The sequence below is a fragment of the Homo sapiens genome, chromosome 2, assembly GCF_000001405.40.
Source record: "Homo sapiens chromosome 2, GRCh38.p14 Primary Assembly".
NCBI classification, from domain to species: Eukaryota; Metazoa; Chordata; class Mammalia; order Primates; family Hominidae; genus Homo; species Homo sapiens.
Window position 1 is genome coordinate 72464501 of NC_000002.12, and position 16917 is coordinate 72481417.

Genomic DNA, 16917 nt, shown 5'->3' on the forward strand with positions numbered 1-16917 from the left:
CCATTCTATTTACTAAGTAAAGGAAAACATGAACCTTTTCTGGTGGAAGATAACACCACCTGGAATCTCTACATATTTTATACAATGTCTAACATCAACCGAAAAATATTAGAAACAGACAGGACCATATCACTGAAAACCAAGAGAAAAAAAATCCACCAATATGTATGTATAATATATATAAGAAGTAGTAAAGAATGATTTTGAATGTCTATAATTAATATGCTTAAGAAAACAGAGAAAACATAGACAAATTAGATAAAAAAGATGGAGCATTTCATCAAAGAATTTCAGTTTATATAAAAAAGTTAAAGAATATTCTAAAACTAAAATATACATATCTGAAATTCTAACTAAGTTTCTTTTTTTAATTCTACCAAGGCTTTTATATTGTCTTTGTACTAATTACCTTGAACATCATAGGAAGATAAGCAGACATAATACCAGGAACCATTTTCAGATGAAAAAAATGCAAAGGTCAATGAAAAAATGATGGAAGTAGCCTCTACATATCATTAAAGGTTAATAAATATAGCATGCGCCTTTATATACTGAAAATCTTCCTGGGTAGTTACAGCAGAAACTAACATCTTTCACCAAACTAAATTATAAGGAAATCTTTTTATATATAAAGGACAAAGTAAGCAACTGCCACTTACAGGAAGGTGTGTGAATACAGCAAAGGTGCTACGAAGAAAGGCAATGAGGTCTACCAGGTAATCACTAGCTTTGTTGCCCAAATCTCCGGTCATCCAGTCATAGTCTGCCAGCTGTAGGAACTGGTCAATCTTCTGGTTTAAGTTGGTATAAATCTCTTCTTCAGCTGCATGTCTAGCATCCTGTGAAAAAATATAAAATTTGAAAAATCACTCAGATTTCAATATGGGCAGAAATTTCTATGAGCTTAGAGCCATCTGACATATCCATTAAGTAACTGGGAATATAACTGGGAATACTGAGCCATACATATCACAGTCTTCTTTAATTTTTTCTTTTTCAAAACCATTGTGTAGGTTTTTTCTAATTTTTTGTTTGCATCCTAAGAGATGCTAAAATGAAAGCAGAATGCCCAGATCATATAAGTTTGACATACCTATATAAAAGATTATGATATACACTAGCATATTAAAGGCTCTAAGAAGTATGGTGAGATTAATATTCTTACAAAAATATTTTCAGGACAAATGATCATACATTACTCCACAACAACCAGTATTCCAATGCTAAAATTCCATCAACACAGACTTGTGCAGAGTAAGTTATGAAGTACCTGCCACCACATTCAATATTCACTTTCATTCTGATCTTCCTTAACTTCTGTTAAATACTCTCTATTTAAAACTCTGTCTTCCCGTGGAATTCATGAGATGGTTTTCTCCTGGATTTCCTTTTACTTCTCTGGACACAAATCTTCTCACTTTCTTTGGGTGATTTAATGAAATCCAATAGCTTCCAGTATCTCTATCTTCAGTACAGATCTACTACAAAATCATTCTAATTCAACAATCATATATGCGAGTGTTTCATGGACATCTCTGACCCAGACAAACTTTGAAATAAGTGCCCAGGTGCAGTGGCTCATGCGTGTAATCCCAGAACTTTGGGAGGCCGAAGTGGGTGGATCACTTGAGGTCAGGAGTTCGAGACCAGCCTGGCCAACATGGTGAAACCCTGTCTCTACTAAAAATACAAAAATTAGCTGGGCATGGTGGTGGGAGCCTGTAATCCCAGCTACTCAGGAGGCTGAGGCAGGAGAGTTGCTTGAACCCAGGAGGCGGAGGTTGCAGTGAGGCGAGATTATGCCACTGCACTCCAGCCTGGGCGACAGAGCAAGACTCCACCTCAAAAAAAAAAAAAAAAGAAAAGAAAAGAAAAGAAATAAGTAGGTCCAGGTTGAGACTCATCATATTTACCACTCTTTACCTGTTCAACTCAGACCAAGGCAGAGATCTAAGCAAGATCTTAAATTCCATTCTTTCCTCCACAGTCAGAAAATGAGTTCTGTAAATTATATCTCCCAAATTTCTCTGTAATTTGTACTGCCCTCTACATTTTCACGTTTTAAAAGCCAGAATAATTTTGCAATATATTTACATACTATAACATAGTTGGTGACTATGTTTACTAATGTGAACAATGCTTTATAAAATTTGATTGATAAATAAAAATTATACAAAAATTATATATTTGTGACGTACAACTTGATTTTTGAAATATGTATACACTGAAATGGCTAAATTGAGCTAAGTTGGATGCAAAAGAAACTGCTTTTAATGGCAAAAACCACAATTACTTTTGCACCAACCTAATAATTAACATATGCATTACCTCACATACTTATTTTATGAGGTAGGAATACTTAAAAGTACTCTGCTAGCATTTTTCAAGAATATAACACAGTTATTAACTATAATCATCATGTTATAGAATAGATCTCTTGAAATAATTCCTTCTATCTAACTGAAAATTTCTATCCTTTGACCAAAAACTCCCCAGCCATATTCCCCAGCTCTGGTAACTATCATTCTATTTTCTGTTTCTATGAATTCAACATTTTTAGATGCTACACATGAGATCATGCATATTCTTCTTTCTGTGCCTGCCTTATTTCACTTAATATAATGTCTCCATGAGGTTTCCATGCTGTTGCAAATGGCAGGATTTCCTTCTTTTGTAAGACTGTATAGTATTGCATTCTGTATACATACTACATTTTCTTTATGCATTCACCAGTTGACAGACACTTAGGTCAAATCAATATCTTGGCTATTGTGGAAAATGTTACAATGAACATAAAAGTGCAGATATCTTGATGACATACTGATTTCATTTCCTCTGGAAATAAACCCAGTAGTGGGATTGCTGAAACATATGATAGTTCTATTTTTATTTTTTGGGGGAACCTCCATACTGTTTTCCACAATGGCTATACTAATTTACATTCCCAAGACCATACAAGGGTTCCCTTTTCTCCACATCCTCTCCAATACTTACCATTTGTCTTTTTGATAATAGTCAACCTAACAGGTGGAAAGTCATATATCATTGTGGTTTTAGTTTGCATTTTTCTGATGACTAATGATGTTGAATATTTTTTCATATACCTCTTGGTCACTTGTATGTCTTCTCTTGAGAAATGTCTATTCAAAAGCTTTGCCCATTTTCTCATCGGGTTGTTTTCTTGCTATTGAATTATTTCAGTTCTTTATATATTCTAGAAATGCATGCCTTGTCAGCTGTATCGTTTGCAAATATATTCTGCCATTCTTTTTTATTTATTTTTTTTTTGAGATAGAGTCTCACTCTGTCACCTAGGCTGGAGTGAAGTGGCACACTCTTGGCTCACTGCAACCTCCAGCTCCCAGGTTCAAGCGATTCTCCTGCCTCACCCTCCCGAGTAGCTGGGATTACAGGTGTGTGCCACTATGCCTGGCTAATTTTTGTATATTTAGTAGACATTGTGTTTCACCATGTTGGCCAGGCTGGTCTCGAACTCTTGACCTCAAGTGATTCGCCTGCCTCAGCCTCCTAAAGTGCTGGGATTACAGGCGTGAGCCACCATGCTCTGCCTGTTCTGCCATTTTGTAGGTTATCCTTCAACTGTTGATTGTTTTCTTTGCTGTGCAAAAGCTTTCCTGTTTGATATAATCAATCTGATTTGTCTTTTTTTACATTTGTTGCCTGTGCTTTTGGGGTCATAGCTTAAAAAAAAAATCATTGCCCAGAACAATGTTATGGAGATTTTTCCCTATATTATTTTGTAGTAATTTTAGTTTCAGGTCTTATGTTTAAGTCTTTAATCCATTTTATGCTGATTTTTATATATGGTGTGAGATGAGGAACAAATTTCATTCTTGTAAATGTGGATATCCAGTTTTCTCAACACCACTTATTTTTTCAGAGACTATCCTTTCCCCTTTTGTGTGTTCTTGGCATCTTTGTCAAAAATTAACTGACTGTACATGAGTAGGATTATGTCAGGGTTATTTTGTTCCACTGGTCTGTATGTTTTTACGCCAGAATCACGCTATCTTGATTATTATAACGTGTAGTAGATTTTGAAGTCAGGTAGACTGATGCTTCCAGCTTTGTTCTTTCTGCTCAAGATTGCTTTTGCTATTTGGAGTCTTAGTGGTCCCATATGAATCTTACTATTATTTACTTTATTCCTATGAAAAATGCATTAGAATTTGAATAGGGATTCCATTGAATATGTAGATCACTTTGGGTAATATGGAAATTCTAACGATGTTAATTTTTCAATCCACAAACTAGGATATCTTTTTATTTCTTCAATTTTTTCTTCAATGTTTTGTAGTTTTTCAACAGGTCTTCTAAATATTTCAATGAGCACTTCTATACTTTCATCTTTACATTACTTGCATAATAATCTTAAGGTGTCCTTGAATTTCTGTTTTGCTAAAAGTCTTTTTCATTAATAGGCTTTATTTTTTAGTGTTTTAGGTTTAAAGAAAACTTAAGCAGCAAGTACACTGCCTCTGTACATACCACTACCCTCCAGGCTACTACCCCTATTTAAAATTGGTGTGGTACAATTTTTACAATTAATGAAACAATATTGATATTTTATTATCAACTAAAGTCCCTGGTTTACATTAGGGTGTAATCATTGAGATATCAAGTTCTGTGGGTACTTAAAAATGCATAATGTCACTAATTCACCATTACAGTATCATTTAGATAGTTTCACTGCCCTAAAAATTTACTGAATTCCACCTATTCATCCATCCAGGATTTTCTCTACTGATTTTCTATACTGGTTTTCATTTTCATTGATTTCTGCTCTAATTTTCATTATTGGTATTATTATTATTGCTCACTTTAGATTTAAATTGTTCTTTGCCTAGTTTCCTACGGTGTAAGTATAGATTATTAAATTTAGATCCTTCTTCTTTCTAATATATGTTATTAATGGTACAAATTTCCCTCTGAGTAATGCTTTCACTGCATCTCACAAATTATAATAAGTTGTATTTTAATTCTTGTTTATTTTGAAATATTTCTCTTGAGACTTTTTTTGACCATGTTTTATTTTGAAATATGTTGTTTAATCTCCAAATAATTTGACATTTTCTATCTTTGTTACTCATTTCTGGTTTAGTTTCACATGGTCTGAGAGGAATGTTAGTATAATTCCTATTTAAAGGATGTTCTATTGCCTAGAACATGGTGCGTCTTGGTGAATATTTTGTATAAGTTGTTGTTGGATAAAACATTCTATAAATGTCCATTAGATTCACTTGATGGATGGTGTCAGTCATTTCAACTATATATATACACTGATTTTTCTGCCTCCTGGATTTGTCAGTTACAGTAGAAGTGTTCCAGAAATTTTAATGACAATAGATGTTAACATATAAAATAAGATTTTAGTATCTTTCAAAATACTCATATTTTTCCATCTTTGATCTTCTAAAGTAGTAAGTAACTTTGAAAAATTTTCTAATACTAATCATTCACGCATTCCTAACCTTACTTCAATCCCTCATTTATTTGTATGTACTTTTAGATTTTGCTCAGAATTGTTTTGGCTATTCGTGTTCTTTTTTTAGTTCCCTATGAATTTTATGATTGTTTTTTCTATTTCTGTAAAAGATGACACTGATACTTCGTTAGGGATTGCATTGAATCTATAGATTGCTTGGGGAAGTATGGTCATTTTAATGATATTAATTCTTCTGATATATAAGTATGGTATTTCTTTCCATTTGTTTGTGTCCTCTTCCGTTTCTTTCATCAGTGTTTTGTAGTTTTCATTGCGGACATTTTTCACCTCCCTGGTTAAACTTATTCCTAGGTATTCTAATGTTTTTGAAGCTATTGTAAATAGGACTGCCTTCTTGATTTCTTTTTTACTGTTTCATTATTGAAGAATAAAAAGGCTACTGATTTTTGTATGTTGATTTTATATCCTGCAACTTTACTGAATTTGTTTTTCAGCTCTAAGAGTTTTTTCTTTTTAATATTTTAAGTTTTAGGGTACATTGCACAACGCGCAGGTTTGATACATATGTATACATGTGCCATGTTGGTGTGCTGCACCTATTAACTCGTCATTTAGCATTAGGTATATTTCCTAATGCTATCCCTCCCCCCTCCCCCTACCCCACAACAGGCCCCGGTGTGTGATGTTCCCCTTCCTGTGTCCATGTGTTCTCATTGTTCAATTCCCACCTAGGAGTGAGAACATGTGGTGTTTGGTTTTTTGTCCTTGCTATAGTTTGCTGAGAATGATGGTTTCCAGCTTCATCCATGTCCCTACAAAGGACATGAACTCATCATATTTTATGGCGCATAGTATTCCATGGTGTATATGTGCCAACTTTTCTTGATCCAGTCTATCATTGTTGGACATTTGGGTTGGTTCCAAGTCTTTGCTATTGTGAATAGTGCCGCAATAAACATACATGGGCGTGTATCTTTATAGCAGCATGATTTGTAATCCTTTGGGTATATACCCAGTAATGGGATGGCTGGGTCAAATGGTATTTCTAGTTCTAGATCCTTGAGGAATCACCACACTGACTTCCACAATGGTTGAACTAGTTTACAGTCCCACCAACAGTGTAAAAGTGTTCCTATTTCTCCACATCCTCTCCAGCACCTGTTGTTTCCTGACTTTTTAATGATCGCCATTCTAACTGGTGTGAGATGGTATCTCATTGTGGTTTTGATTTGCATTTCTCTGATGGCCAGTGATGATGAGCATTTTTTCACGTGTCTTTTGGCTGCATAAATGTCTTCTTTTGAGAAGTGTCTGTTCATGTCCTTCGCCCACTTTTTGATGGGGTTGTTTTTTTCTTGTAAATTTGTTTGAGTTTATTGTAGATTCTGGATATTAGCCCTTTGTCAGATGAGTAGGTTGAAAAAATTTTCTCCCATTCTGTAGGTTGCCTGTTCACTCTGATGGTAGTTTCTTTTGCTGTGCAGAAGCTCTTTAGTTTAATGAGATCCCATTTGTCAATTTTGTCTTTTGTTGCCATTGCTTTTGGTGTTTTAGACATGAAGTCCTTGCCCATGCCTATGTCCTGAATGGTATTGCCTAGGTTTTCTTCTAGGGTTTTTATGGTTTTAGGTCTAGATGGAGCCTTTTAGTTTTTCTAAATGAAAGATCGTATCATCAGCAAAGAAGGACAATTTGACTTCCTGTTTTCCAATTTGGATGCCTTTTATTTCTTTCTCTTCTCTGACTGTCCTAGCTCAGACTTCCAATACTATGTTTAATAGGAGTAGTGAGAATGAGCATCCTTGTCCTGGGGAATGGTTCCAGCTTTTGCCCATTCTTAAAGGAAAGGCAGTCAACCTTTTCCCATTCAGGATGGTGTTAGTTGTGGGTCTGCTATATGTGGCCTTTATTATTTTGAGGTATGTTCCTTCTATATTTGGCTTGTTGGGAGTTTTAATTGTGAAGGGATGTTGAATTTTATCAAATGCTTTTTCTGCATCTATTAAGATGACCATATGGTTTTTACCCTTCATTCTGTTGATGTGAAGTTTCACATTTACTTATTTGCATATACTAAACCATCCTTGCACTCTTGGTCTAAATCCCACTTGATCATCATACATTATCTTTTAATTAAATTCAGTTTTCTAGTATGTTGCTGATAATTTTTGCATCTATTTTCATCAAGAATATTGGTCTGTAGTTTTCTTTTGTTGTTGTTCCTTTTTCTGGTTTTGGTATCAGGGTAATGCTAGGCTTACAGAATAAGTTACGGAGAATTCTCTCCCTAATTTTTTGGAACAGTTTCAGGATTGGTATGAGTTATTCTTATATGTTTGGTGGAATTTGGTGGTGAATCCACCTGGTTCTGGGCTTTTCTTTGTTCAGATACTATTTATTACTGCTTCAATCACTGCCCGTTATTGGTCTGTTCAGGTTTTCCATTTCTTCCTGATTCAATCTTAGTAGGTTGTACATTTCCAAGTATTCATCCATTTCCTACAGATTTTCCACTGGTTACCATATATTTGTTCATAACAGTCCCTGATGATCTTTTCTGTTTCTGTGGTATCAGTTATAATGTCTCTGTTTTCATTTATAATTTTATTTGAGTCTTCACTGTACTCTTCTTGGTTAGTCTAGCTAGTGGTTGTTATCAATTTTACCTTTTCAAGGAACCGACTTTTTGTTTCATTCATCTTTTCATATTTTTCTTTTCAGTTCTACTATGATCTGCATTATTTCCTTCTGATATTGTGGATTTGGTTTGTTGCTGCTTTCCTGTTCCTTGAGGTATATTGTTAGATTGTTTATTTGAAATATTTCTGCTTTTTGATGTAGGTGCTTATTGCTATGAACTTCCCTTTTAGTACTGCTTTTGTTGTGTCCCACAGGTTGTGATATGTTGTGTTTCCATTTCATTTGTTCCAAAAAACATTTATTTCCATATTAATTTCTTCATTGAACCAATGGTTGTTCAGGAGCATGTTGTTTAATTTCCATGTATTTGTATCATTTCCAATGTTTCTCTTGGTATTGATTTCTAGTTTTACACCATTGTGATCTGGGAATATACTTGATGTGATTTTGAATTTCAAAAATTTGTTGAGATTTGTTTTGTGGCTTAATATATGGTCTATCTTGGAGAATGTTCCTTGTGCTGATGAGAAGAATGTGTATTCTGTTATTGTTGGGTAAGATGTTCTCTAAATGTCTGTTAAGTCCTTTCGGTCTAAAGTCCAGTTTAAAACAAATGTTTCTTTTCTGATTATCTGTCTCAATGACCTGTTTAGTGCTGGCAGTGGGGTGTTAAAGTGCCACAATTTTATTATATCAGAGTTCACCTTTTTATTTAGATATGGCAATATTTGCTTTATGAATCTAGGTGCTCCAGTGTTGGATGCCAATATGGATTTGGTGTTACATCCTCTTGCTAGATTGATCCCATTATCATTATATAATGACCTTATTTGTCTTTTTCTTACTGTTTTTTATTTAAATTGTTGTATCTGAGTATAGCTATGCCTGCTCATTTTTTGTTAACATTTGCATGGAATATCTTTTTCTATCCCTTTATTTTCAGTTCATATGCATCTTTAAAGGTAAATTATGTTTCTTGTAGGCAGCATATGGCTAGATCATGTTTTTTTCATCCATTCAACCAGTCTATATATTTTAAGTAAAGAATTAAATCAATTTACACCCAAAATTATTATTGATATGTGAGGTCTTCCCTTTATCATATTAATTATCTTCTGGTTATTTTGTGTATTCTTTGTTCCTTTCCTTTTCTCTTACTGTTTGTTACTGCGGTTTGGTGGTTTTCTGCAGTAGTACTATTTGAGTCCTTTCTCTTCTTCATTTGTTTGTTTGCTTTACCAGTGAGTTTTATACTTTTGTGTGTTTTCATGATAGCAAATGTCACTCACTATTTCCAAGTTTAGAATTCCCTTGAGGAATTTATTGTAAGGCCAGTGTAGTGGTGATGAATTCTTTCAGCTTTTGCTTGTATGAGAAAGATTGTATTTCTCCTTCATTTATGAAGAATAATTTCGCTGGATATAGTATGTTTGCCCAACATGTTTTTTTTTTTTCTTGTTTCAGCTCTTTCAAAATATCATCCCATCACCTCCTGGCCTGTAAGGTTTCTTCTGAGAAATCCACTGTTAGTCTGATGATGATTCCTTTATAGGTAACTAGATGCTTTTCTCTTGCTGTTTATAGAAATCTTTGTGTTTACATTTAGATAGTTTAACTATAATGTGCCGTGGAGAGAATACTCTTTTTGCATTGTGTCCTTTTGGGGATCTCAGCACATCCTGTATCTGAATGTCTAAATCACTCATTGGACTTGAGAAATTTTCATCTCTTACTGCATTAAGTAAGTTTTCCAACTCTTTTTTATTTCTTTTTGCCTTCTGGAACCCTTATAATTTGAAAATTTGGTCTCTTATGATGCCCCGTATGTAATAAAGGCTTTGCTCATTCTTTTTTTAGTTGTTTTTTCTTTTATTTTATATAAAGAATTATCTTCTAGATCTGAAATTCTTTCTTCTGCTTGATCTAGTCTACTGTTGAAGATTTTGAACATATTTTGCATTTCATTTAATAAATTCTTCAGTTCCATAATTTATGTTTGGTTATATTTTTGGTATCAATCTCTTTAGCAAATTTCTTATTCATATCATGCATTGTTTTTCTGATTTCTTTGTATTGTTTTGCAGAATTCTCATGTTTCTCACTGAGCGTCTTTAGAATCAATCATTTAACTTCTTTTTCTGAGATTTCATTAATTTCTCTTTGGGACCTGTTGTTGGAGAATTATTCCTTTGGAGGTGTCATATGTCCTGGCTTTTTCTTATTTTCTGTACCATTATATTCATATCTGTACATCTACTATAACAGTCACTTCTTGCAATTTTTTAAATTTGCTCTGGTAGGGGAGGACATTTTCCAGAAGATGTATCTATGCTGTTAGTTGGGTAGGACACTTTGGTTGTTATTTTGAGTGCAGTAGTGTAAACTCTGTACGATTCCTTCAGGTATAAATAGTACCAGTGGTATCTATAATTTCTTCAGTGGCTCAGGGTGCAATTATTAAATGAGGCTGTGGTTTTGCTGGGGACTGTAACACCAGGTAGGTCGGTCTTTGAGCCCCAGTGGTGGCAGCAGTGGGATGAGTATGTGTGTCTTTGGGCTCCAGGGTGGTCTGGCACCATTGTTAGTGAGTCCAGATGGGCCAATTGTTGAGTTTCCAGACAGATTACTTGGATGCCAGCAGTGACAACAGTAGGTGGGGTGGGTGGGGATGTTCTTGAACCCCTGGGGCAGCCAGCTTGATGTGAATGATGACAATGGCAGTGGCAGAAACATCCTCTTAGTCCCAAGTGGTTCACACGGGTATTGGTGTTGGTTGCATTCAGCCGAGTGGGCTGGTCTCCAGGCACACAGGTGGTGTATGCAGGTAGGTGCCAGCTGTGGTAGTAGCAGTCATGTGGGTAGGCCCGACCTCAGGCACCTGGGAGGAGTGTTCAGGTGCCAACTGTGGAGGACAGGGCTAGGTGATCCTCTTGCTTCTGGTGTGCTCTGGCACAGGGGTTGGGGGGTGGCAGGTCAAAGCTGAGCCAAACTTGTCCTCAAGCCCTCTGATAATGAGTATAGGCACCAGATGCAGTAGTTAGGGGTGAGGCAATCCCTAGAAAAGTAAAATGCTCTGATGGTAGGTGGCAGCAGCTGTGCTGGTTCCCTGCCACTGGGGAGGGCAGTGCCACCTTCAGTATTGGGCAACCTAGGTTAGGTCAGCAGGTGGAAAACACACACACCATTTTCACCACAGCCCAAGTGGCACTCTTTCCTCAGCCCCTCTGCCCTAGCTGATACATTGCTCATGCCTCAGCCTCAATGGCAGCAGCATGCATCATGATAGCATCTCGGCCCCTGGTGTGGGTGGCCCCTGGTCACTGGCACCTAAGCTGGGAGGCAGCAAGTGTGCTTCTCCTGCACCTCAGCCCCAGTACCAGTGGTCTCCAGGATAATGCGCTATCTGTTGGAGTCAGGGCTCTAAGATGGCGGCTTGCTATAGCTGCTTAGGTCTCATGGAATGTGTGTGACCTGGTGTGAGCTCCTTCCCTGGACCAGTGCCATCACACAATCTCTCAGCATCTTCCTATGTTAGTTTCAGGGCAAGTGAGGGTCAAGAGACTCTCCTATTGCCAGGATTTCAGGACTCCATAGTGGAAATGGAAACCACTGAAAGTTTCTACTAACCCTTTCCTCGTATTAAGGAGTCTCCCTCAGCTCCCAGCTGATCCTACTGAGTAGACTGCCTAATTTCCTTCCCCTTCCTTGGTTTAGGCATTTACTGTCACTTTTCTATTGAATTACAGTGTTCTCTCTTGGGTGGTCTATTTGAAATGTGATCATCTACTCATTATGTTGGTTCTTCTTAGTGGAGGAGGTGAGTATGAAATACCTCTAGTCGGTCATCTTGAAGCTATCCTCTTTCATATCTTTTCCTTATCACATCATATCTATTTCCCTATAGGTCCTCAAATTTATTAGCACAGAGTTACAGTCTTAGGAATTCAATTCCTCTCATTCTGAACTGTGAGTAATTGTGATTGATGTTGTTATTTCTTCCTTCTTTCCTCTCTTTCCTTCCTTACTTTCATCTTTTCTTTTCCTTTTTTTAGTTCTTCCCTTCCTTTCAATGAAGCACAGTAGAATGTTTATTTTTTTAAATGCAACATCCCTCACTTGAAGTCTTTCAAAGACTTTAGAATAAAGTCCAAATTATCTACTAATATAAAACAAAGTGCTTCTCAGGTTGGTATTTATCTACTTCGGTATCTCACTGCCATCCTAATTCTATGCTGAATACTGGCTTTATTTTATCATTTAATCTTTGCACATGAAGTTAAAATATCCTTCACTCCCTCTATATCCATTCTCTGCCTATAAATATCCTGCTGGTTCCAAGATCCATTCCAACTTGTACTTGTCTGGGAAGTCTTCTTTGGCGGTCCTAAAGGTGGAACCTCATCCTCTTGGGAATTCTCCTCTGTTGAGCCTGTCAATGTTGAAGTCCCCTGGTGCTCAATCCTCACATCTTTCCTCTATGTATACTCAAATCCCAGAAGAAAGTCCATCCTGTGCCATCAAATATCATCTTTACACTGGTGAACTCTAAATTTTTATCTCTAGCTATGATTTTGTCCTGCCAATTTAATACCTCTATATAGCTATGAATTAAACATACCAAGCTTAATGTATCAAAAATGGAAGTCTTGATCGTATTTCTGCTTTCCAAATGCATTTTTCTCTAAGTGTTCCCCATCTCAGTAAACAGTATTCATCCAGTGTTCTGTTCAAAAGTTTTGGAACTATCTTTGACTCCTGTCTTTCTCTTAATACACACACCCAATCTAGTACTAAGACCTGCTATCTGTACCTTCAAAAATATTTCTTACCACTTCTACCTCTACCACTCTAGTCCAAGTGACCACTATCTCTTGCCTGGAGTATTGCAACTACCTCCCAATTAGACTTTCTTCTTCCCCTTTTATTAAATTACAATATATTTATTTCCACATAAAAACCAGTATCACATTAAATGATAACTCAGATCATTACCCCCCACAACTCAATCTTCTAATGACATCACATCTCATTTCAGAATACAATGTACAGTATTTATGATGGCCTACAAGGCCAGAAATAATTTAACTCCTGAATACTTCATCTCTTATCGTCCATACCATTAGTGATAGATACATCATTGCCAGACTGACCCCCTTACTATTTCTTGAACACATCCATACCTACCACTGTGCTGTCCCCTTTGACAGGAATGCATATCCATCAGAAATCCAAATGATTTAATTTCTCACTTCTTTTTGGTCATTTATTTTTTTTTCCCTAGTTCTTATCACTACTTGCCATTACATTAGATTTTTTTGTTTGTTTATCATCCACTAATTCATTAAAATATAAGCTCTGTAAAGTGAGGAGACTCACTTTTTTGTTCATGCCTGAAACTTTTCCTAATTTGTAGTAGACACTGTATTAAAACTTGTTCAATAAATGAGAGATTGAATACATCTAATGTATTATTCCAGTATAGTGGGTGTCTTCTCTGTAAATCATAAACTTTAAGTCCAGGGACAAAGTACTTTTTCTGTCTCTCCCCAAGAATCTACCAGATGATTACACAGTAGATACACAAGCAATATTTATTATGGAGTAAATTAATAAACACTTTCATTCTCTTTTGTAAGAGAGTGAGGAAAATCTTATGAATCAGGAAAGCTAAGGACGCCAGCTTGATTATGTCACACATGGCAGAAATAAGAGGGAACTCTGCAAGAAAATACCTTAAAGACCTTCAGACTCTTTCTACCCCTTTTCCAGCATAAAGGTTTCCATCTGCAAGGGAAAGTTTTCTGGAAACAGTAGCTTAGGAAAATACACAACATGTAGCTGTTATAATTGCCATGTTTATATTGAGTTCTGGGTTAGCTAGTCTGAAACAGCCCTGGTAAAAAATAAATTTTCAGTGTGTTTTAAGCAATCAGTGTTTCCAATAAGCACTGTCAACATGACCTTTAGTGGTCTCCAGAACTTCTCCTTCACTAAGTATTTAACTGGCTGTTCAGCCCCTATGGCTTCCTGTCTGCCTTTAATTTTCCCTCAGCATTTTTTCATGCTAGAGCAACAACAAAATACACAAGCCATCCTTTGAGAGAATTTCTGAACATAAGTTGAAAAGCTATTGACATAAAAAATTGAGACTGGTTGAGAGAAAGAGTATCAGTGGATACCACATATTCTTCTTTTGATAGACAAATGAACCTCACGTTCTAATTCCCTAACTCCCTATTATCTACTTAACACTGAACTATTTCTTTTACATTTTCTTTCCTAGAGAAATTTTGGCTTTCACAGAAGAGCAAGTATGGAAATTTTTTTGATAAATCTAATGCCCAAGCTCCATAATAATGCTAGTATTTGAGAGTAATTATAATTCCTATAAAACTGCCTGAGGTCATTCTGAAGCTCTGAAAGCTTTTGTCATATTTTCATACTCATTCTCAGGGCCTTTTTATTAAGTCATTCTTTTCCTCACTAAAAGAACATCTAAATTAGTATCATTAGACATTGTGAAAAATTAGTAAGTCATGATATGAACATAACATTATGTGTAATGAATTTTAACTAATCTTATTATCATTTTGAAACAAATAATTTACAGTAATTTAATGAATGTGTAACTTAACCTAGCAGCTGACCTAATCACATAGATACATAAAGAATACTTTCTGATTCAACATTGTGTTTTTTTCAAACAATAGAAAAATAGTAAGTCACACCAAAAATTTTTATCTGTCATAAAGTATAATAGCAGTATGAATCAAATTTCATTTCTTCTCTTGCGCCTACTGTCAAAAGAATGTACCAAAAATAGAGAAAGAGGTTAAGATGATGGGAAAAAGCAGACTACAGGGGACATAAATCATGGTTCCAACTCTACAACTGTATATTTAATTAATATCAATTTCTGGATCTCAAAAGGGTGACATGGAATATGTTTCAAAACTAAAACAATCAAATAACAATATAAACAAAAAATCAAACCATATAAGTAGCCTATATGTTAGATCCATATTTTTAATGTTTGAGATGTTGTCCTATTACTTTTACTGCTTAATACCTATTTAAAGCTCACATAAATATGAAGGAGTTTATTAAAGCTGCTCTAAGCTATAGCATTTACTCTCCAGAAACTCATCTACCATCAATCCTTCTTTTGTTCTACATGACTGTCATTTCTTCCCATTTGATCCAGCTCTGGATCAAAACTAGTGCTGTGGACATATGAAATTATAAAATTGCTAACTGGAAAAGCAGGGACAGAAATTCCTCACTAAAAAGTAAGATTAAAAAATTGATCACAGGGCCGGGTGTGGTGGTTCATGCCCGCAATCCCAGCATTTTGAGAAGCCAAGGTGGGTGGATCGCTTGAACCCAGGAATTCGAGACCAGCCTGGGCAACATGGCGAAACCCCGTCTCTACTAAAAATACTAAAAATTAGCCGGGCATGGTGGCACACGCCTATAATCTCAACTACTTGGGAGGATGAGGCATGAGAACTACTTGAACCCAGGAGACAGGGGTTGCGGTGAGCCAAGATTGCACCACTGCACTCCAGCCTGGGCAATAGAGCAAGATTTGATTTAAAAAAAAAAAAAATTGGTCACAGGATACAGAGAGCAGGGGACAGCTTAGTAGAAAATTTTAATTAATGTTAATGTCAGCCATAACTATGATTATCTAGACCATACTTAAGAACTGTTGACTGTGATGGGGGTTCAACTTAGGAAATAGTGATTTACATGTACAAAACATAAGGAAGGGTTTAGAGACACAGTTGTAGTTGTTTCATTTTGTTTCGTTTTGTTTAAACACCCAAAAACTCGCACTGGTATTTATTTTTTCAAAGAAAATAGAGAAGGGAAACCAAACATATCATAAACACTCATTCTCAAGAGCATGTTATAAACCATCTTACAGAAACAAGGCCATGTTAGGTAGAACGTCCCAGACTGTGTACACCAGAAGCAGTTCCACAGTACTGTAGGGCCCTCTCACCTTAAAAGTTGTGGTGCCATAGAGCTTGGTAGTGTGAACTGTCTCTGGAAGCACATTAGTGATGTTGGTGATAAATTCTTCCAAGTACTTACAGGATTTCTCCAAATGTGTTGTATTGATAATAATCTGAACAAGCTAGAAAACAACAAACACATGTAAAAGTCATTTAACTACTCACCCCAGGATGAATGGCTCAATATGAATCTGCCGGTACAAAACAAATGTAAGGCATAATGGAAAAGGCCATCCACATTCGGGCAAGGGGTATGTTAAAGCATGGGCTTTCATGTTACCTCTTCTAGGAAGTTTTTGATATGGTCAGGCTTTGTGTCCCCACCCAAATCTCATCTTGAATTGTAATCTCCATAATCCCATGTATCAAGGGAGAGACCAGGTGGAGGTAATTGAATCATGGGGGCAGTTTCCCCCATGCTATTCTCGTGATAGTGAGTGAGTTCTCACAGATTTGATGGTTTTATAAGGGGCTCTTCCCCCTTCACTCACACTTCTCCTTCTTGCTGCCCTGTGAAGAAGTTCTTTGCTTCCCCTTTGCCTTCCACCATGATTATAAGTTTCCTGAGGCCTCCCAAGCCATGCTGAACTGTGAGTAAATTAAACCTCTTTCCTTTATAAATTACCCAGCCTCGGGCAGTTCTTTATAGCAGTATGAAAATGGACTAATACGTCCTAGCATTCCAAAACATTTTGTATTCCCCCATATTATGGGAACACTTATCACTGTATTCTAAAGGTATGTTTTCTTCTGTTTAAAAAAGATTAGACTAAGAACAGAAATTGCTAC

General features: G+C 36.1%; 1 protein-coding gene across 13 annotated transcripts in view; it reads right to left on the reverse strand.

The window, feature by feature from the left end:
* The window catches only part of EXOC6B (exocyst complex component 6B), a 650050-nt gene that overhangs the window by 288517 nt on the left and 344616 nt on the right, over nt 1-16917 (reverse strand). For 10 of the 13 annotated variants that reach the window (NR_135773.2, XR_007071495.1, NM_001321734.2 and 7 more), the window contains 2 exons: nt 16116-16250; nt 660-839 (listed from right to left, as the gene is read on the reverse strand). Coding sequence is in view for 10 of the 13 variants with exons in the window: in NM_001321734.2 (NP_001308663.1) it covers nt 660-839; nt 16116-16250 (315 nt within the window). In the remaining 3 variants the exon portion in view is untranslated. The remainder of the gene's footprint in view (nt 1-659; nt 840-16115; nt 16251-16917) is intronic. The other 3 variants (NM_001321733.2, NM_001321730.2, NR_135774.2) reach the window with 2 other exon arrangements.